The sequence below is a fragment of the Homo sapiens genome, chromosome 17, assembly GCF_000001405.40.
Source record: "Homo sapiens chromosome 17, GRCh38.p14 Primary Assembly".
In the NCBI taxonomy this organism is placed as follows: domain Eukaryota; kingdom Metazoa; phylum Chordata; class Mammalia; order Primates; family Hominidae; genus Homo; species Homo sapiens.
This window is the reverse complement of record NC_000017.11, coordinates 60,376,798-60,396,943: the sequence shown is the minus strand read 5'-3', so window position 1 is coordinate 60,396,943 and position 20,146 is coordinate 60,376,798. Positions and strand designations below refer to the sequence as shown.

General features: G+C 41.2%; 1 protein-coding gene across 8 annotated transcripts in view, besides 5 other annotated features; it reads left to right on the top strand.

Moving 5' to 3' along the window:
* USP32 (ubiquitin specific peptidase 32) overlaps nucleotides 1–20,146 on the top strand; it is a 245,090-nt gene that overhangs the window by 25,473 nt on the left and 199,471 nt on the right. For 2 of the 8 annotated variants that reach the window (NM_032582.4, XM_011525373.2), the window contains exon 1: nucleotides 4,811–5,062. The exons of 2 other annotated variants lie outside the window; for them this stretch is intronic. In NM_032582.4, the coding sequence (NP_115971.2) occupies nucleotides 5,005–5,062 (58 nt within the window). In that variant the 5' untranslated portion in view covers nucleotides 4,811–5,004. Of the gene's footprint in view, nucleotides 1–4,477; nucleotides 4,606–4,810; nucleotides 5,063–5,316; nucleotides 19,851–20,146 lie in introns of those variants that run through there. 4 more of the 8 variants (XM_011525376.2, XM_011525374.2, XM_011525375.2 and 1 more) reach the window with 4 other exon arrangements.
* Nucleotides 4,255–5,096: an enhancer, noted in NCBI's record as "NANOG-H3K27ac-H3K4me1 hESC enhancer chr17:58469209-58470050 (GRCh37/hg19 assembly coordinates)". NCBI's record gives its function as "activates a minimal SCP1, AML or CMV promoter by ChIP-STARR-seq in naive and primed H9 embryonic stem cells {active_cell/tissue: H9 hESC(naive and primed)}" and the evidence as "EXISTENCE:reporter gene assay evidence [ECO:0000049][PMID:30033119]".
* Nucleotides 4,341–4,660: a silencer, noted in NCBI's record as "silent region_8790". NCBI's record gives its function as "represses an Ori minimal core promoter by ATAC-STARR-seq in GM12878 lymphoblastoid cells {active_cell/tissue: GM12878}" and the evidence as "EXISTENCE:reporter gene assay evidence [ECO:0000049][PMID:35858748]".
* Nucleotides 4,771–4,990: a silencer, noted in NCBI's record as "silent region_8789". NCBI's record gives its function as "represses an Ori minimal core promoter by ATAC-STARR-seq in GM12878 lymphoblastoid cells {active_cell/tissue: GM12878}" and the evidence as "EXISTENCE:reporter gene assay evidence [ECO:0000049][PMID:35858748]".
* Nucleotides 5,021–5,080: a silencer, noted in NCBI's record as "silent region_8788". NCBI's record gives its function as "represses an Ori minimal core promoter by ATAC-STARR-seq in GM12878 lymphoblastoid cells {active_cell/tissue: GM12878}" and the evidence as "EXISTENCE:reporter gene assay evidence [ECO:0000049][PMID:35858748]".
* Nucleotides 10,597–11,408: an enhancer, noted in NCBI's record as "NANOG-H3K27ac-H3K4me1 hESC enhancer chr17:58462897-58463708 (GRCh37/hg19 assembly coordinates)". NCBI's record gives its function as "activates a minimal SCP1, AML or CMV promoter by ChIP-STARR-seq in primed H9 embryonic stem cells {active_cell/tissue: H9 hESC(primed)}" and the evidence as "EXISTENCE:reporter gene assay evidence [ECO:0000049][PMID:30033119]".

The following is a 20,146-nucleotide window of genomic DNA, read 5'->3' as shown; positions in this document are numbered from 1 at the left end:
CCTTCTCCTAACCTTTGTAAACTATTAATTTGAAGGAGATACGAATATAACTTCATTGCAGTTGGAGTAGAGAAGGGCGAGACAGGAGTATAACATAGGGTAAACTTTAATTCACACAATCAGTGAGTAGTCTGTTTGCCAAACATAGATTGTAGTAAAACAAAAAGAGAACCTCCAAGGTAGATCTAAGTTAAAGGTCGTTATCTTAATGTTTTCTTTCCTAGTCATAGTTTTAATTTAGGAATCCTGTGTGTCTTAAACTCTTAGGAGATGGCTCCTGTTGAAATGTTGCCAATTTTAGGCACTCTTTATCTCAAACTCCTGGCCTCAACAATACTCTTGTCTTGACTTCCCAAAGCACTGGAATTACAGTTCGGGTGTGAGCTACTGTGACCAGCCAGCATTTTTAAAAGAATGATCAACAGAGAGGAGAAATTTCTTTAACTGCAGATTAGAGAATGACGTATTTTTAGTCATTCTTTCAATATTTTGGAAGTGATCTTTTACATTATATACTTGTGTACTGATGGAAAATGAGCATGTATTACTTGTACAAAAATAGCTTCGGGACAGGCGTGGTGGCTCACACCTATAATCCCAGCACTTTGGGAGACTAAGGCAGGCGGATTACTTGAGCCCAGGAATTCGAGACCAGCCTGGGCTCTCTACAGAAACTCTGTCTCTACAGAAAATAAAAAATTAGTCAGGTGTGGTGGCGCATGCCTGTAGTCCCAGCTACTTGGGAGGCTGAGGTGGGAGGATTGCTTGAGTCCGGCAGGTAAAGACTGCAGTGAGCTCTGATTGTGCTACTGCACTCCAGCTTGGGTGACAAAGCAAGACCCTGTCTCAAAAAAAAAAAAAAAAAAAAAAAAAAGCTTCAAGTGCTTTAGTGTACATAAAAATACAATACACGTGACCACATCCTCATATTGTTTGACTGTAAGGTAACAAGTCCATAATACTGAAAAATCAATTCTCTTAATGTGTTGGTGTCACGTTGTAGCAATGAAGTTATACATAAATTAGGTGCTTTTCCACTTCTATTGTATTGACCTCCCTCTCTCTAGCTTACCTAAGGTTCTTTGGCAAGTACTAAAATGACTGTCCTATTCTTATGTCATTTCTCTGTGAGTACAGACTGGGGAAAACACTTGTCATTTCTGTTGCCCAACTGGAAGTAGAAATTACATGCCAATCTCCTGTGCTTTAAATCTTTATATGGATAACCCTTTTGCAGGCATGTAATTATAGTTAAAGCAATGGTTTCCTAAGTACAACTGACTACTTAAAAGTGAGGTGGCTGGCCAACTCTTCAATGGATTAAGTTAATTATAATGAAATTGAACAAACTAAACGATTAATAGAATTCCTTTCAGCATGACAAGCAGACTTCAGACTTTCTACGTTATTAGACTTAAGTACTGCATCAATTTTAAGTTTTAGAGGGATGTTTAACATTTGACTCCCTGCTACTGTGTAATACAAACCAAAATGCAGGTTTTAATCTGGGTTTAACACTTAAAATTCCCATCAGACACAACTATCTGCTTCACTGGCTACAATAATATGCTTAATTTAACTCAGACAAAGGAGAAATAGTATTTCTTAATCTGCTATCTCAACTCACAATTTTTAGAAGTGCTTAATCCATGGAGTGGAAATTTTTATGACCTTAGGGGATGCCAGGCCTGAAACTTAAAGAGGAAATCTTAAAAGTTCATGTTAGTACTGCTGTAAATCTTACTTTACAATAAGTTCATACAGTCATGAGCTACAGTCGTGTTTCAGTCAAAGGAGAACCACATATATGATGGTGGTCATGTAAGATTACACTGCTTTTTAAACTGTACCTTTTCTATGTTTAGATACACAAATACCATTGTTAAAATTACCTACTGTAGCCCAGGCGTGGTGGCTCGTGCCTCTAATCCCAGTACTTTGGGAGGCCGAGGTTGGTGGATCACCTCAGGTCAGGAGTTCGAGACCAGCCTGGCCAACATGGTGAAACCCCATCTCTACTAAAAATACAAAAATTAGCCGGGCGGGATGGTGTGCGCCTATAATCCCAGCTACCCAGGAGGCTGAGGCAGGAGAATCACTGGAACCTGGGAGGCAGAGGCTGCAGTGAACCGAGATTGCGCCACTGCATTCCAGCCTGGGCGACAGAGCAAGACTCCGTCTCAAAAAAATAAATAAATAAATAAATAAAAAATTACCTACAGTATTCAGTACAGTAACATGCTATACAGGTTTGTAGCCTAGGAGCAATAGGCCTAGGTGTGCTGCAGGATATACCATTTAGGTTTGTGTAAGTAATCTATGATATTTGCACCACAACAATGTATCTCTTAGAATGCACCCCATTGGAAAACGACACATGCGGTCATATTCTATTAATTCCTGAGTATTTTGTAAATCATTTACCATCTCATGAAAGCAGCTAAACTGCAACTCTAGTCCTGTCTTTCAAGTGGGGCAAGTGCCACAAAGAGATACATTAATTTGCTCCCAACTCCACTGCAAATCAAGTGGGTAGATAAATACCCAAGCCTATCCCTTGTATAGCAAGGCCATCTGTAGGTACTGACGGTTTAGGACAGTAATAATAGTAGTATATGTTGCAATTGAACTCTTGAGGGTTTTTCTCCCTCACAGCTGGGCCCTTTCATAAAATTCACTTCCCATTAATTACGATAATCTAACTCGGAACTCGCACTCTGCAGGCTGAAGATGACTGAGGTGTTTTGCCTGATGTCTCTCTATACCGAACTAATGACCTGGAAATTAAAGGCTTTGAAATGTATTCCCAACCCCCTGATTCATGGCCTTTCAGTAATGCAGCTAATCTGAGGTCTTAAAATTAACCACCTCACAGTGAACTGGAAAGGGCAGCGCTGTGACTAATGCCACGCTGCTGATCTGGTTTGCCAGGAAAGGTGAGTAGAAAAACACGAAATATTGGTGGGGCGCGGTGGCTCACGCCTGTAATCCCAGCACTCTGGGAGGCTGAGGCGGGCGGATCATCTGAGGTTGCGAGTTCGAGAACAGCCTGACCAACATGGAGAAACCCTGTCTCTACTGAAAATACAAAATTAGCCAGGCATGGTGGCGCATGCCTGTAATCCCAACTACTCGGGAGGCTGAGGCAGGAGAGTCGCTTGAACCAGAGAGGCAGAGGTTGCGGTGAGTCGAGATCGCGCCATTGCACTCCAGCCTGGGCAACAGGGGTGAAACTCCGTCTCAAAAAAAAAAAAAAGAAAAACACAGAATATTACCTTCTTTCTCTAGCAGGGTATATTAGAATCTGTTGGTTTTAGGAACTAATAACCTTTCCCTGGCCCTAAATTACCTAACCGGCACCTTGGGTCCAATCTAATCCAAATGGTTACTTTTTCAATATTGCTTCCTTTTCCAGAAGCTTTATTCCGTGACTTTTAGGTTGAAGACGCAAACTAAATAAGAGTTGAAAATCAAGGAACTAAATAATAATTCCACTGTACATATACACCCCATTTGGTTTCTCCATTTATGGTTTCCTATAGGTTGTGTTCACCTTTTGGCTCTCGTGAATAATGCTGCTATAAACACGGGGGCACAAATACCTGTTCACATCCCTGCTTTTCATTCTTTGGGAAATGGAGAGGTGGAGTGGGAGAGTCAGTCACATGCTGCCACACCATGAACCTGGAAGGCACGATGCCAAGTGAAATAAGCCAGTCACAAAAGAGAAAGTCTGCAGAGTTCCACTCAGAGGAAATACTTAAGAGTAGTGAAATTGATAGTAGGACAGCGGTTGCCACGGACCAGTGGGAGGGGGATTGGGGAGTTACCGTTTAATAGGCACAGAGTTTCCCTTTTGCAAGATGAAAAACGGTGGGAAATGGGACGTGGCAATGGATGCAAAACAATATCAATGTTCTTAACGCCACTGAACTCACTTAGAAATTGTGAAAATGGTACATTTTGTTACGTATATTTTACCACAGATTAAAACGACTCCACGCTAAGCCTTGTAGCCCTCATGTTTCTCGGGGAGAAACTCTGGGAGAGAGGATAAGCCTTTTGCACAGCGCTTTCCAGAGAATGTGTACAAGAGGCATGGTCAGGAGGAGAAGGTGGGCCGGGCAGGCGAGATGACCCGAAAAGGCAGATCCACTTCGTTAACAAGGTCCACTTTCCTCAGGGATCTCCCGCTAGGTGTGAGCATTCTTTTGTCACAGGAAAGCCTTGAGATTCTCCTTTCCTTTCACAACGCCCTCCCAGTCAAAGACGTCCCTAAGGTTGGGAGCTCCCTGCCTACCCACTCCTTTCTCTTCTGAGCCATATGCCGCATCCCTCAGAACCCCATTCCCTAAGATTCTGCGGTCTTCCATGTTAGGTCCCGGCAACTGCCACACTAACCGTCAGCTGCTCGGACCCCACCCGCCGAACGCCAGAACATGTGGGCGCGGGGGCGGGGGGGGTCGTCCTCAAGCGCCCCGGAAGTCACCACCCCCCGTCGCCAGCGGAGGCGCCCGGGCGGGGCGCGCGGCTGCGATTGGCGGGAAGATGGGACGATGCGTTACGTGCGGAGATGCGTCCCCCTCCCCGGCGCTCCTGCGCGCGGTTAGCTTGGGGAGGGGCGGAGCGTGCGGCCCTGGGCGGCCGTTACCGGGAACAGTGTCTGGCCTCGGGTCCCGTGACCCTCGGCGGAGCTGGCGGGAGGGGGCGGAAGTGGCAAGAGGGCGTGAGGAGGGAAGGAGAGGGAGGAGAGAGAGGAGAGAGAAGGGCGGAGTAGGAGGCAGGGGAAGGGGGCGGGGCGGAAGAGTCACGTGATCCGGCATGGAGGCGGTGGCGGCGACCGGGAGGAGCCGCCGGGGCAGAAGCCGCACTTGTTAGTGTGGGGGGAGGTGGGGGCGGGGGACGCCGACACCGTCACCGTCACCCAGGGACGCCGAGGAGAAGGCGGGAGGGGGGTGGGGGCGAGATCAGGCTCCGACCCCCCGCCGAGGGGATGAGGGGAGCATGGGTGCCAAGGAGTCACGGATCGGATTCCTCAGCTACGAGGAGGCGCTGAGGAGAGGTGAGGGGGGAGGGGTCTGGGCGAGCTGCCTGGGAGGCCCGCGACGGGCAGCCTGGAGGGTGGGTAACCGGGAGGGAGAGGGGAGATTGAGGGCGTGGGGCGCCTGAGGCGGAAGGGAAAGGCGGCCGGCCTTGGGGAGTGTGGTGGAGGAGAGAGGTCGGGTGGGAAGCAGCGTTTGGGAATTAGGGCCGTTTGGAAAGGGGCTTGTCCTGAGAGAGGGGGATCGGCGCTGGCAGGGCAGTGCCCGTGCTCGCTGGTGGCGTTGTGATCCTGGATGTGTCCAGGGAAGTCCTCTCCCCGTTTTCTTGGGCGGCTCCAGCCCATCCAGCCCCCCTCATCCTTCATTGCCATTTTCTCCTATCATTCCTTCATAAAAACCTCAAATAACATCCTAACCTCGTTCCTAACAGCCTTAGCTGGAAGGGGACGAGGAGGCGGCTGCAAAGCGCTCCTCTCTGCTACTGGAAGCCCCTTCGTATCTGGGGAGTCCCTGCCTTTTCCCAGAGCCTATGCCTGTCTCTTGAGGGCTGTGGCCATCCGCTTCTGCCACCCTTCACCGTTTGAGCGGCTGACTTTGATAAGAACGATCTGAAATGAAGTTGTGTTTGAGGTGAGATGAGACTGGACAGCTGGCGTTGGCACCAGACCTTGTCTTAGGTTTCATCTCCTCCGACGTTGACCAAAGCCTTTGACTGCACTTGATGCCCAGTTCTCGCTCCATCCCTCTCCATGAAATGGCATTGGGAAGTCCAGCATTCAGATATTGTGTTAAATCTCCCTTTAGAGACTGGCCTGGCTGCCAGTCCCGGCCTGCTGCTTATTGGCTCTGAGGCACAGTATATTGTTGGCAGCCCCAACCCCCTACCACTCACTCTGATACCGCTGTCCATGATCACTAAAGCACACACTAACTGGAAGTGTCTTGTTGCACAGTTTATGGCCGGAATGTCTTAATTTTTCATGACTGGGATTTCAGTGTGTGTAGATCTGTGTATGCTTGTATTTCTTTTAGACATTTAATGGATATTCTTGGTAAGAAGTGAAAAAACATTAAGAAGATTAGGAGCTAGGCATTATTGTTAACAGGTTTCCAAGTCAAGAAATCAGCCATGCTCCAGGTGGTTTTAGTAGCTAAGGATATAAAATGGTAATTAGATTAAAAGACGGGTATTCAAAATGAGGCTTGAGAAGTGAACTCTTGTTCGTATATAGGAAGAAGAGGGGTAAGTGGGTAAGTTCAGTTGACCATCACCTGACAGTAAGATACAGAATTGAGATGTATTGGTGGTGGTGGATTTACCAGAATAACACAGATATGCCTTTTATGTCTTTCTTTCTTTTTCCCTTGTGGAACAGTATAATAATTGTTTTTATGGACAATCTCATTTGAACTTTTTTTGTCTGCCCCAATATGAGAAATATTCCAAATTCTTGATGTGTTTCCAGCCCTAGTAGGCTAGTCATTTCCGGGATGCTGTTGAGCCTGACAGGTCTGGCCTCAATTAGGCAATGGCTTACATGGCATGAAAGAGGACATTAGTCAAACTGATTTACAGCTTCAAGGTTCAGAAGTGTTTCTTAAGTTTGAGGGTGTGAATACTAGTGATGTACCTGGCATTGAGAAATTCCAAAATTAAACTTGTATTCAGCTCTAGCCTGCTTAATCTCCTATCAAACTAAGATGGTACGTTTGTAAATACAAATGAAGTTAATTGCATTTTAAACTGATCTGACTGGAAGGTTTTTGTTTAATTTCTTATACAGTGTCTGCCTGTTGAATTTTAAAACACATGTATTTGAAGAGATAGCAAAATCTTTGTTAAGAGCTTATTTGTAACTATTGGAATGAATTTATGTTTTTTTTTTGAGACGAGTCTTGCTCTGTTGCCCAGGCTGGAGTGCAGTGGCGCGATCTCGGCTCACTGCAAGCCCCGCCTCCCGGGTTCACGCCATTCTCCTGCCTCAGCCTCCCCAGCAGCTGGGACTATAGGTGCCCGCCACCACGCCCGGCTAATTTTTTTGTATTTTTAGTAGAGACGGGGTTTCACCGTGTTAGCCGGGATGGTCTGGATCTCCTGACCTTGTGATCTGCCCGCCTCGGCCTCCCAAAGTGCTGGGATTACAGGCATGAGCCACCGCGCCCGGCCGGCATGAATTTATGTTTTACCAGTTTGCTTTAGAGGAAAATTAAAGCAAAAGAGAGCAGCAAGTTGATAAAATTGTATTTCTAAATGTAAACCAGAAGCCCCCTTCTTTAAGCATGGTCCATTTAGTAAATGTCAGACTTTAATATAGAATTTAAGATTACAAAAAAAGTTTATGAAGCTTTTTTTTTTCTCGAGACAGAGTCTCGCTCTGTCGCCCAGGCTGGAGTGCAGTGGCGTGATCTTGGCTCACTGCAACCTCCGCCTCCCGGGTTCAAGCCATTCTCCTGCCTCAGCCTCCCGAGTAGCTGGGACTACAGGCGCATGCCACCACTCCTGGCTTATTTTTTGTATTTTTAGTAGAGATGGGGTTTCATCATGTTAGCCAGGATGGTCTCAAACTCTCAACCACAGGTGATCCACCAGCCTCGGCCTTCCAAAGTGCTGGGATTACAGGTGAGCCACTGCGGCTGTCCCCAGAATCTTTTGATAGAGCTAAAAATGTCTTGGAACCTCTTTTGGGCACTTGAATAATATAAACAGTTGGTAAAACCTGCATTCATTGGTTTCATCTACTTGTTTATATTGTATAAAATGAATGGGGGAAAGGGTAGATAGGATTTGACAAACACACATTAGTCCAGTGTGTGCAAAACAAGCTTGACAAAACTACAGAAATACTTGCCTCCTTGGCTTTACTTAAAATTATTGAATGCTAAATAATGCCTAGACACAGGTAGTATTTAAAAAAATAGGCATATATTACCACATACAAACATGGAATTGCAGGCAGTTTATCTTGCAAAGCGGGGCCTTGGAAACGAAGTGTTATGTTAATGACAGATAACACTTACTGGGCCTGAGTGGAAGGGCAGTCTAGTGACTTCAGTTACATTTTAGAAGCACCTAGAAATTAGGAAGATTGGTTTTTGCACACTATTTTAGCTAGACTGTTTGTCAGTTGTCTAAACCTTAACGTTTTCTAAAAGTGTACATTTAAACACTGTTAGGGAGATGTATTACTGGTAGCTTTTATTTTTTGGCTTGAATCTATCTTTCTTAAATATTTTGAGTAAAACACAAGGAAAGCCTTGACTCTTGTTTATATTGCGTGTGTTTTCTAAGGAAGTACACTTGTACTTCATGGATACTGGAAATTTGAGCAGCACATTCTTCATCTCTTTATTTCACCTCCTTGTTGCATCTAAGTTTGTGGCTTGTGTATTCTTAAAAACGTGTTTTAAATGCTTGGAACACAGCATTCAAAAACCGTTCGGTGAAAGATGAGTTGCATTTTAGATCCTTTTAGAACTCTAAGACATCTTAAAAATCTTCACCAGTTTTTTAATTCTTCTGTCTTATCTGCTTCTCTGTCCTTCCTTTCATCTTTCTGGAAACAGGATTATAAGGCGATGTGTGTGTGTGTGTGTGTGTGTGTGTGTGTGTGTAAGAATCGGCTGAATTAAAATGATTCTTAACTTTTAAATTGTAGTAATAAAATACAGTGGGTGAATTTCTTCTAATCCCTTTCTTTAAAATCTGGCATTTATATTGCTCTTAGTAGCTGAGTGATGAACTATAGTGTGTCAAAAAGTTATGTTATGGATTCATATTTTAAAATGTCCTTTTGCTCATTAATTCAGCAGATTTTTACTGAAGGCTGGGTATGAATTAGGCACTAAGGAAATGGATAACCAAGACCCCTCTCTCTAGGATCATATAGCTTGGGTCAGTGATCTCCACTAAGTGTATATAGACAATCCCCGACTTACAATTTAACTTTACGATGGTGCAGAAGCTATATGCGTTCAGTAGAAATCATATTTCAGTAAAGTATTAATATTTAGTATTAATAACCATAGTATTAATATTTCAGTACACTAATAAATTACATGAGATTTTCAATGCATTACTGTGTTATTTTGTCCAACAGTATGCTAATGTAAGTGTTCTAAGCATGTTTAAGGTAGGCTAAGTTATGTTCAGTAAATTTGGTGTATTAAATACATTTTTGACTTAATGATATTTTCAACTTATGATGGGTTTATTGGGAGGTAATCTCATTGTAAGTTGTATCAAAGAATGTAAGCCTATTCATAGAGGATGCGAATAAAATACTAGAAATTCTGTTTATAGTTCTAACTTGTGTATGTTTAATAATGCACATAATATGTTCAAAAGTAGTATATATGCATATCATTTATAAATGATTAGCTTATGGTATATTAAGTGCTGCAGTGCTATAGGAGAAAGTGCTACGGAAATACAGAGTGTGTATGGGTGTCTCTGATGGCCTAGAAGTGCTGCTAGCACTGTGCTCATTTTATAGTATATGCTCAATAATTGAGTGTTAAAGGATTTAATTTCCTAGTCACTTATAGGTAGTTGTGTTTGCTAGTGGAATAATTAAGCATGTAACAGTTGATAATTCAGTACTTTTCATTTTGCTTATCCACCAAATCTAAGATGCTTTAAAACATTGACTCCCAACTAAGATTTTGTTCACCAATTTCTCAGTATTAATCTTAAAATTTCGTTAGATTTATACTACCTATGATGTGATGTTAGTTCGTTTAGCATAATGTATCATTCTATACACGGAAATTGAATTTCACAGTCAGTACCTTCTGGGATGCGTATTTATCTCCCTTATTAAAGCACTTATTTGCCTTCCTATGAATTTTTAAAATTCACCAGTGAACTTTCTAGCATTAGTTTGGAATTGTTGGTTTCGGTTAAGCCTTTTAAAAGTATACCAGATCTTACTATTTGTAAAGGAGAAAAATGGGGCAGTTTTTAAGTAGTCTGCTTATATGTAGTCACCTGAGTGATTACAAAGGTGCTGTTTTCACTAATCTCACTGTTTCACTAATTTCACTGTTTTCACCTCACTAATCTTTAGTTCGTAGGTTTGGTGTGTCTCTGACAAGAGGAGATAAATATATTGATGAACTCTGGATTTTGGGGGATGAGCAAAATGAGGGGACATCACTTGCTGGTTAGTGAGCTCCCCATTTACCAAACTGGACAGCTCTTGTTTGTTTTTCCTTGTTCATTGTCTCTCTTTGTGCTTAGTGAGACTTTACAGTGACAGCACTCAGGGTTGCCTTCCAGAAAGATGTGTAAGGAAGTTAGAGTTGGGATTGTGATGCCCAACCCATAGCCAGATATTTTCTCAGGACGAGAAAAGGAAGATTTTTGGCACTGGATTACATGCTTGGATCATTGGAAAAGTTAGAGAAGTGATTATTATTTTTGTTGTCACTAGAGAAAAATCTGTTTTTGCAGCACCAGAGTAATGCTGAGAGTTTGAATTAGAAGCTTTAATGTTAAACAGCTGCAGTGGTGGAGGGATTTTTTTTTTTTTTTTTTTAATTTATGAACTAAAAATTAGTAGTTGGATAGTGTACTGAGAAGATTAAGGTGGGACTGACAGTTCTTTTTATACTGTATCCGGGAAGCATGGCTTCTCCTTTCAGAGCTTGTTTATGCTTCTGCTTTTGCTTTTTGGGCCTCATGACATATTTGTGTTTAAGTTGAGCAGTTTAATGTCTTTCTGCATTCCAATAAGTCCTCTCATTTAATAATAAAGAACTCTTGGAAGTTAGAGGTATGTAGTTAATTATTGGCACAAAAGCCTGGTAAAAACTAGCTTTTCAAGTGTTTCCTTTATTGTTCTTTCCGTTTGTTTCTTTTGTGTTGTGTGTGTGTGTGTGTGTTATGCAGCAATAGAATAGAATTTTCTTTTATAGTCAGAGATGTATCCTAAGATGTATCTATTCAAAGATGACCAGAATTCAAGACCTTTCCTTAACACCCCTCTTTATTAGGGACTTAGTATTCATTAACATAAGGCTCTTTTTAATTTTTTTTAATTATCTTTTTCTTTTTTTTTTTTTGAGACAGAGTCTCTATTGCTCAGGCTGGAGTGCAAGTGGCGTGATCTTGGCTCACTGCAACCTCTGCCTCCCGGGTTCAAGCTATTCTCATGCGTCAGCCTTCCAAGTAGCTGGGATTACAGGCACCCACCACCATGCCCGGCTCATTTTTGTATTTTTAGTAGAGACAGGGTTTTACTATGTTGGCCAGGCTGGTCTGGAAGTCCTGACCTCAAGTTATCCACCTACGCTGGCCTCCCAAAGTGCTGAGATTATAGGCGTGAGCCACTGCTTCTGGCCTATTTATTTATTTTTGAGACAGAGTCTTGCTCTGTCACCCAGGTTGGAGTGTAGTGGCGCAATCTTGGCTCACTGCAACCTCTGTCTCCTGGTTCAAGCGATTCTCTTGCCTCAGACTCCAAAGTAGCTGGGACTACAGGCGTGTGCCACCACACTGTCATGCGCGTCCATGTGAAGAGACCACCAAACAGACTTTGTGTGAGCAATGAAGGTTTTTAATCACCTGGGTGCAGGCGGGCTGAGTCCAAAAAGAAAGTCAGCGAAGGGAGATAGGGATGGGGCTGTTTTATAGGATTTGGGTGGGTAGTGGAAAATTACAGTCAAAGGGGGTTTTTCTCTTGCAGGCAGGGGCGGGGGTCACGAGGTGCCCAGTGGGGGAGCTTCTGAGCCAGGAGAAGGAATTTCACAAAGTTAATCGCTCAGTTAAGGTGGGACAGGAATAAATCACAATGGTGGAATGTCATCGGTTAAGGCAGGAACCTGCCATTTTCACTTCTTTTGTGATTCTTCAGTTGCTTCAGGCCATCTGAATGTATTGTGCAGGTCACAGGGGATGTGATGGCTTAGCTTGGGCTCAGAGGCCTGACAACACCTGGCTAATTTTTGTATTTTGTAGTAGAGATGGGGTTTCGCCGTGTTGTCCAGGCTGGTGTTGAACTCCTGGCCTTAAATGATCCACCCGCCTCCACCTCCCAAAATGCTGGAATTACAGGCGTGAGCCACCACGCCCAGCCAGGCTCTTTATTTTAGGGATTTTTTTTTTTTTTTGGACGGAGTTTTGCTCTTGTTGCCTAGGCTGGAGTGCAATGGCACAGTCTCGGCTCACTGCAACCTCCGCCTCCCGAATTCAAGCAATTCTCCTGCCTCAGCCCTCCGAGTAGCTGGGATTACAGGCACGGTGCCACCATGCCCGACTAATTTTGTATTTTCAGTAGAGACGGAGTTTCTTCATATTGGTCAGGCTGTTCTCCAACTCCCGACCTCAGGTGATCCGCCCGCCTCGGCCTCCCAAAGTGCTGGGATTACAAGCATGAGCCACCGTGCCTGGCCTAGGGCGGCGCTCATCACTATCTTGTGAATAAGATTCAGGAAAACTGATGTTTTGAAACCTTGCCTATAACATGTTTGTTGGGGTACTAGACACTGGACCGCATTAAAAGCAAAACTATGCTAAAGTGGGATTTTACAGAGGAAGTTGTCCAGTGTCTTTCATTTCTGTAAAGAAGCTTGGTTGCCCCAGCATCTTATCCCTGTGGCAAAAGCCTTTTAACATTTGCTATGGTTGCCTTTTGGTGATGACTCGTGAAAGGGTCTGGAGAGATTACATTATGAAAAGGATCTTTCTAACAAGATAGGCCTCCACTAGTCTTTCCCATGACAGCAAATGGCATCACTATTGCAACACAAGTACTAAACTGAAAAATCTAGACATATCCTCAGTTCCTCCCTTTCTCTCACTTTCTGACCATATCCCCTTATCTCCAGTTAGAATCTGTCACCAAGTTTTATTAGTTTGGTATTGAGTTTAGTCTGTTAGCTTCTGCTTAATTGCCTCCACTTTAGTCCCCACTGCCATCATCTTTTGCTCCAAGACACTGTGCAGTAGTTTCCTAGTTTCACACAGTCAGTGTATTCTTAAAATCCAAACCAGATCTTGTTATTCCTTTCTTTAAAGTCTATAATTAATTTTTAAAAATGTAGTCTTTATAGTGGTCTACAAGGCTGTAAATAATTTGGTTCCTGCTTAAAACTCCAACCTCAATTGTAGTAATTTACCCCTTGCCTCCTGTACACTAGCTACACTAGCCATCTTCTTGTTCTTGGAACCTATTCTGGCTTGCAGCCTTTGCATTTGCTACTTTCTCTCATCCTGGAAAGACTATTTATGAATTTTTACATGTCTGGCTCATTCTCATATCTGATGGCCACAGCTCAGATGGCCTCAAGGACGCCTTCCTTTATCACCTCATATGAAGTGGTATTTGTCTATCACTATTGTGCAATATTCTGAACAGTTTGTGTACAGCCTTTATCATAATACGTAATTATCACGTTTATTGTCAGGTCTGTTGCTGAATCCCCAGTGTCAGGATAGGTGCAGTGCCTAATGTATTTTAAGTGCTCAGTAAATATTGGATGTCTGGATGAATGTATAAATGTATAAATAATGGAGAGAAGTTGTGGAGAGCTTTCATGTTTGTCAGATCGGGGGGTAAAAAATAAAGACAGGAATCGAGTTATACTATATGTATCCACCTCAAAATTTCTTTTCCTTTCAGCAGCTTTTAAAAAGTTTGTGCTTAAAGTTTTTTTTTTTTTTTTTTGGGACGATGTCTGTCGCTTCCCAGGCTGGAGTGCGACCTTGGGATCACTGCAACCTCTACCTCCTGGGTTGAGGCGATTCTCCTGCTTCAGCCTCCTGAGTAGCTAGGACTACAGGCACAAGCCACCACGCCCAGCTAATTTTTGTATTTTTAATATAGACGGGGTTTCAGCATGTTGGCCAGGATGGTCTTCATTTCTTGACCTCGTGATCCACCTGCCTCGGCCTCCCAAAGTGCTGGGATTACAGGAGTGAACCACCGCGCCCGGCCTGTGCTTAAAGTTTTAAATGATAGTTAAAAATAAATAGTCCTAAATATAGTATGTAGTTTTGTCTGTTTAGTTCAAATATTTGAAGCTGATAAATAAATTCCTGTGAGATTAGTATGGGGTAAGTATTGTACTTATGAACACTTGAGAATGTCTTTTGGTTATGTATAAAATTTAATAATTTTATTCCTGAAATAATCATTTTTATATGATGACCTTCATGTACTTTTCATTTATGATGACAAGTATTATCCTACTGCCATATATGAAGTTAGAGTTAGAAAGTTATTTGCTTAAAGTGTTATACAGAGTTATATAAAATTCAACACACAGAGCTCTCTCTTGGTTCTAAATAATCCAGGTGATTTTAAATTAAATTTTATGATTAACTTTTTTTTTCTTGGTCTAAGACTCTTTTTCTCTTATATTCCATGGCTAATGCTTCCCTCCCTCTTTTCTTAGTCTTTTGTTTTTGTTTTTATTACAATGGTATATGCACATAGTTTAGAATCAGATGGGAATACAGGGCTTGTTATGAAAATGGTACTGTTAGCTGGGCATGGTGGTTCAGGTCTCCCGAATTGTGGGGACTACAGGTGTGCACCACCACACCTGGCTAATTTTTTTAAATTTTGCAGAGACGAAGCCTCACTGTGTTGCTGGTCTGAAACTCCTGGCCTCAAGCCTCAGCCTCCCAAAGCACTGGGATCATAGGCATGAGCCACTGTGCTGGCTGGCGGAGGCCTCTGAGAGAACTTGACATCTGGGCTTAGTTTTGACAGATAAGGATCTGGCAAGGCAGGTAGTTCGAGGGGAAAGATACATGGCAGTTTGCCGGTGAGCTTATCTCACTATGCCAGCCTCTGGAAATAGAAATCATACACTGGCCCTAATTTCAAGACACTAAATCTTGTCAGGGTTTTGCTTCACAGAGAAGATGCATAAAATTTGGTCTTAAAAATGAGTTCACCATGCACACATACACACAAAAAAAGTAAATATTGCATTACTGTATATATGAGGTTCCAAAATAGGCAAAACTAATTTATGGTGACAGAATAGTGGTGACCTCTGAGGGTCGGTATCGACTGGGAGAGAACAGGAGAGAGCCTACTGGGGTGCTGGAAATGTTCTGTATCTTAATTTTGCAGGATAATTCCTTGGATGCATCCCTAAAAATTCAGTCAAGCTATATAGTAAGATTTGTACAGTTTACGTAAGTAATAGGAGAGATAAGAGGGGGAACCTGTGGAAATGCAGAACATTTCAAGATCTAGAAAGCAACATTTGCAAGGGTACACAGTGTTCAGACAGGGACCAAATCATAGAAACTACTAGGGCTTGCCATGCTGAAACGACTGACTTCAAACCATAGGGCATACGTACCTTCCACTGAAGAAGAGCACCTGAGTAAAATGACTAGAGGTGCATTTCAAAGATTATTCTATTGGAAATACAAAGAATGAATTGGAGGAGTAGGAGGCAAATAGTCCAAGGGACAGATAAAAACCTTTTTTTTTTTTTTTTGAGACAGGGTCTCCCTCTGTCACCCTAGCTGGAGTGCAGTTGTGCGATCATGGCTCACTGCAGCCTCTACTTCCTGCGCTCATGCAATCCTTCCATCTCAGCCTCCCAAGTGTCTGGGACTCCAGATGTGTGGACCACACCTGGCTAATTTTTTTATTTTGTTGTAGTGACGGGAATCTCACTGTTGTTTCCCAGGCTGGTCTTGAACTCCTGAACTCAGGCAATCTTCTGGCCTTGACCTCTCAAAGTGCTGGGATTACAGGTGTGGGCTACAGTGCCTGGCCTTATTAAAATGTTGACGTAATAAATGGGACTACCTAGTGCTGCTGTGCTTTCTCCTTAAAGGAGAAAGCTGACAGAATACAACTAGCAGCAGTAATCTGGTAAATTGTGCTTTCTAGAGTAAATTTTGTCTCATGACATTTATGCAAATATTCAAATGTTTCAGGAATATAAACATTTAAAATTTGGGTTATAAATAATGCCTCCTGGCTCTGAAATTATCTGAATTCATGAAGCAATCAGTAGTAAATATGAAGGAAAAATGAAACACAGCCTTATATGCAAGGACAAGCACAAATTTCTAATTCTTATTATAATTTGGGTGCCCACCTGGTTTTGAAGGTGAGCCTTGGTTTGACTGGTTCTGAGACATTTCTCTCAAATAGCAAATGAGTAGTGGGTATGAATAGGGTACATTGGAAAGTCATGTCAAAATTCCATGCAATTTTAGGAGCTTTTTTTCTCCCATGTAATTTATATAATTTGACATGTGTATTCCTATGTAAAATATTTAACCACTTCTCTACAATAAGCATTAAGTGGGCTAATTATTATGCTCTTCTTATTTCATATTTCTGTGATTTCTCTTATCTGGAATGACTTTTTTATGCCACCCAGGCTGGAGTGCAGTGGCACATTTACTGCTCACTGCAGCCTCAACTCCCCAGGGTCAAGCCATCCTCCTATTTCAGCTTCCCTAGCAGCTGGGACTACAGGTGTGCACCACTATGCCCTGCTAATTTTTGTGTTTTTTTGTAGAGACGGGGTTTTGCTATGTTGCCCCGGCTGGTCTTGAACTCCTGAGCTCAAGAGATCCACCCACCACAGCCTCCCAAAGTGTTGGGATTACAGGCGTGAGCCACTGCACCTAGCTTCTTTTCTAATTTGTTTTTATTCTGAGATCAGATGAGATTGGCATGTTCAGGTTGGTATGGCCATAGACTGCTTTTATCTATTCTAATAATTTTGTATTGTACAATGTGTTGGAAAGGCAAGATGAAGTTAGATTATGAAGGGTTCATTTCCATTCAATTCTGTCTATCCTTCTGGACTTTGCCTAAATCTTACCTTCTTTGGAGCTTTCCTGAACTTACTTATCTCCTTTGAATTCTTACATTTGGATCCTTTGTATTTGAGTATTTTTACATATATATGTACATAAATAACACATGTTTTATGTGTATTAATTTACTCTCCCAACTAGATTGAAAGCTGCTGAAGAGTAACCTTTTTTTAAAACCACATTGGACTGTTTTAAGCACAAATTTAGCATATGCTTGATGATTGAGAGAACCATATGGTTACAGTCATTGGTGTGTCTGTATGATTGTGATATGTTGCTATTTAAAAATCAATAGTTATTTCTTATTTAGTTTTCTGTTAAGCCATAACCTTTTGCTCTCATTTATACGTCTTCTGAACGTTAAGTAACATGTGGCTCATATTTCAAACTCCCAATTTGGAATTTTATAGCAATGTGACTGAAGTTTATAATTACAGGTCTCAGAGGACTGCACTACACAGAAGTTCTCTATGTGTTAGAAGAATTTATTAGAAGATAGACAATTGTAGGTTACACTGTAATTTAGAAGACTTTTGCGCATCTCATGTATTTGTGTCAGTTTGAGAATTTGAAAATGCCCCCAAAATGTCTGTTCTTCACTAGTGCCTCTTGTGATCCTGGCAGAGATAAGCTAAACTTTTGAAAGGGTAGACTTTTTCTGTTTATCTTAGTATCCTGAGTCCCTAAATCTGGAATGTAGTAGATGTTTGTGCATTTCCCTATGTCAGTGAAGTCAAAATACTACAGGTGGATTTTTCAGCTTTTCAAAGTTTTCACATTTACTAAGTCCTTCACAGTTATCTCCTACTAGTTAAAAAACTATTTGCCTCAATTTATGCCAGTGCTACTTTGACATTTGCATTGCTGTAAAACCCTTACTAAAAGGTATGTTTTTCTAGTATACAAATACATGTATGCAGCTTTTCTCATATCTTTGAGAAAGCAAAAAATTGTACTAAATTATGATTTTGACTGCAATAGGATTATGGCTTAGTCATGATCAGTATTATATTTTCAACTATGTCTTACTAGGATTATTGTAAAAGACTTTCAAAATAGTTCATGTGAATTTTTGTCTGATCTTCACAAACTCAGGTATGTACATAGCTCTCCCCCACCTTCTCCTGGCTTTGCCAATTTATTTTATTTTTATTGTGAATATATATATATATAGAACATACCATTTACCATTTGAACTATTTTAAAAAATGTACAATTAGTGGCATGAAGTACATTCACAATATTGTATAACCATCACCACTATCCATTTCCAGAACTTGTTCATCATCCCAAACAGAAATTCTCTATCCCTTTTTTTCCCCAGCCCCTGGTAACCTCTATTCTACTTTCTGTTTTTATGAATTTGCCTATTCTAGATACTTCATGTAAATAGAATCGTACAATATTTGACCTTTCTTATTTCACTTAGGATAATGTTTTCAAGGTTTATCCATGTTGTAGTACATAGCAGAATTTAATTTCTTTTTTTGACTGAATAATTTGTATATACTACATCTTGTTTGTACATCCATCTGTTGATGGGACATATTTGAGTTGTTTCCACCTTTTGGCTATTGTGAATAATGTTGTTGTGAACATTGGTGTACAAATATCTGTCTGAGTCCTGCTTTCACTTCTTTTGGATATAAACCTAGGAATGGAATTGCTGGGTCATATGGTAATTCTATATTTAACCCTTTAAGGAACAGCTAAACTGGTTTCCACAGCTTCTGTACCGTTTTATATTTCCACCAGCAATGCACAAGTGCTCCTTCCATTTTCTCCATATCTACCCAATACTTGTTATTTTGTTTTCTTTCAATTAATAACCATCCTAATGGGTGTGACATAGTATTGTCATTTTGATTTTTAGTTTCCTAATGGCTAGTGCTAATGAGCATTTTTTTAATGTGCTATTGGTCATTTGTATGTCTTTTTTGGAGACATGTCTATTCAATCCTTTGCCCATTTTTGAATTGAGATGTGTGCTTTTTTGTTGTTGAGTTGTAGTTCTGTAGTTCTTTATACATTCTGGATATTATTCTCACATCAGATATATGATTTACAAATATTTTCTCCCAAATATTTCTGTGGGTTACAGATATATTAATATCTGTGGATTGTCTTTCATGGTCTTGATAGGATCTTTTAATGCCCAAAAGTTTTTAATTTTGATGAAATAATGTATGTAGTTTTGAACTTAAACAATGTTACAGATTGTGCAAAGGGTATAACCATGAAATTCTGATAGAGTGACCCCACAGCTGCAGAAAACCAGAATAGAAAGAACCCTACTCTAAAACCCAAAAGACTTCCCTAGATAGAGTCCTTTGAAAATAATTTTCTAAATTATTCACACAGCCTGTGGATAAATTAAGAGGAAATGATATCTGTAACAGTGCTGCTTGTGATGAAAACACGGAAGAGTCAATTATATTATCAAATCTTAGCTGGAATGGAAAATCAGGAGGATATTTATTAGCAAACATTAATAAAAGGTTGGCCTTTATTATTGTAAGCATGTACACAGACGACAGCAGGTAGTCTCTACCATAAGAATGAGAAATGCCTCCTATCTTTATGAATTCTGAAATTTAACCTTTCTTAGCCCAATTGCTGTAAGGGCCTAGGGTTTATTTGTTATGTGTGTTATTGGAGTAGAGACTGTTCGAAGGTTAAGTGGGTATTTAGTGATGCAAGTGACATTTATATGTTTTAAAATCTTCTGCTTTTGTAGGCACTTTTAAAAATGAAATGCTATATTTTTAAACTTTTAAAAATTATTTTTTATTATTTTTTGCAGAGATGAGGTCTTGCTGTGTTGCCCAGGCTGGTCTCAAACTCTTGGCCTCAAGAGATCCTCCTGCCTTGGCCTCCCAAAGTGCTGGGATTACAGACGTGAACCACGTGCCTGGCCCAAACTTTTTAAAGACTTTATTTCTGGAGGCAGGTTCTCAGAAGATATCCTATCTTAATGGGCATATATATAGAGAGAGTAGTAGGTGAGTTTAAGGGGGATGTAAATATTGGCCGAAAAAGGTTTCTTTTAGGTATATAACCCCTCAAATGTAGCCCTTTGGATATCAAAAGTTTATTATGACAATGTTCTTTGTGCGTTTTTATTCGATGTTGTCAGCCATTCATCTAATACCTCTTCAGAAGATTTTTGTCTCTGGGCAGTGGCATTTTATAACTTCATATATAGAAGAAAACTTTTATCCAACTGATAACTGATATGCCAATGTGTTAGTATGAAAAAATTTTCCCAACATTCTTACCAGGTGTGGTGGCTCAACCT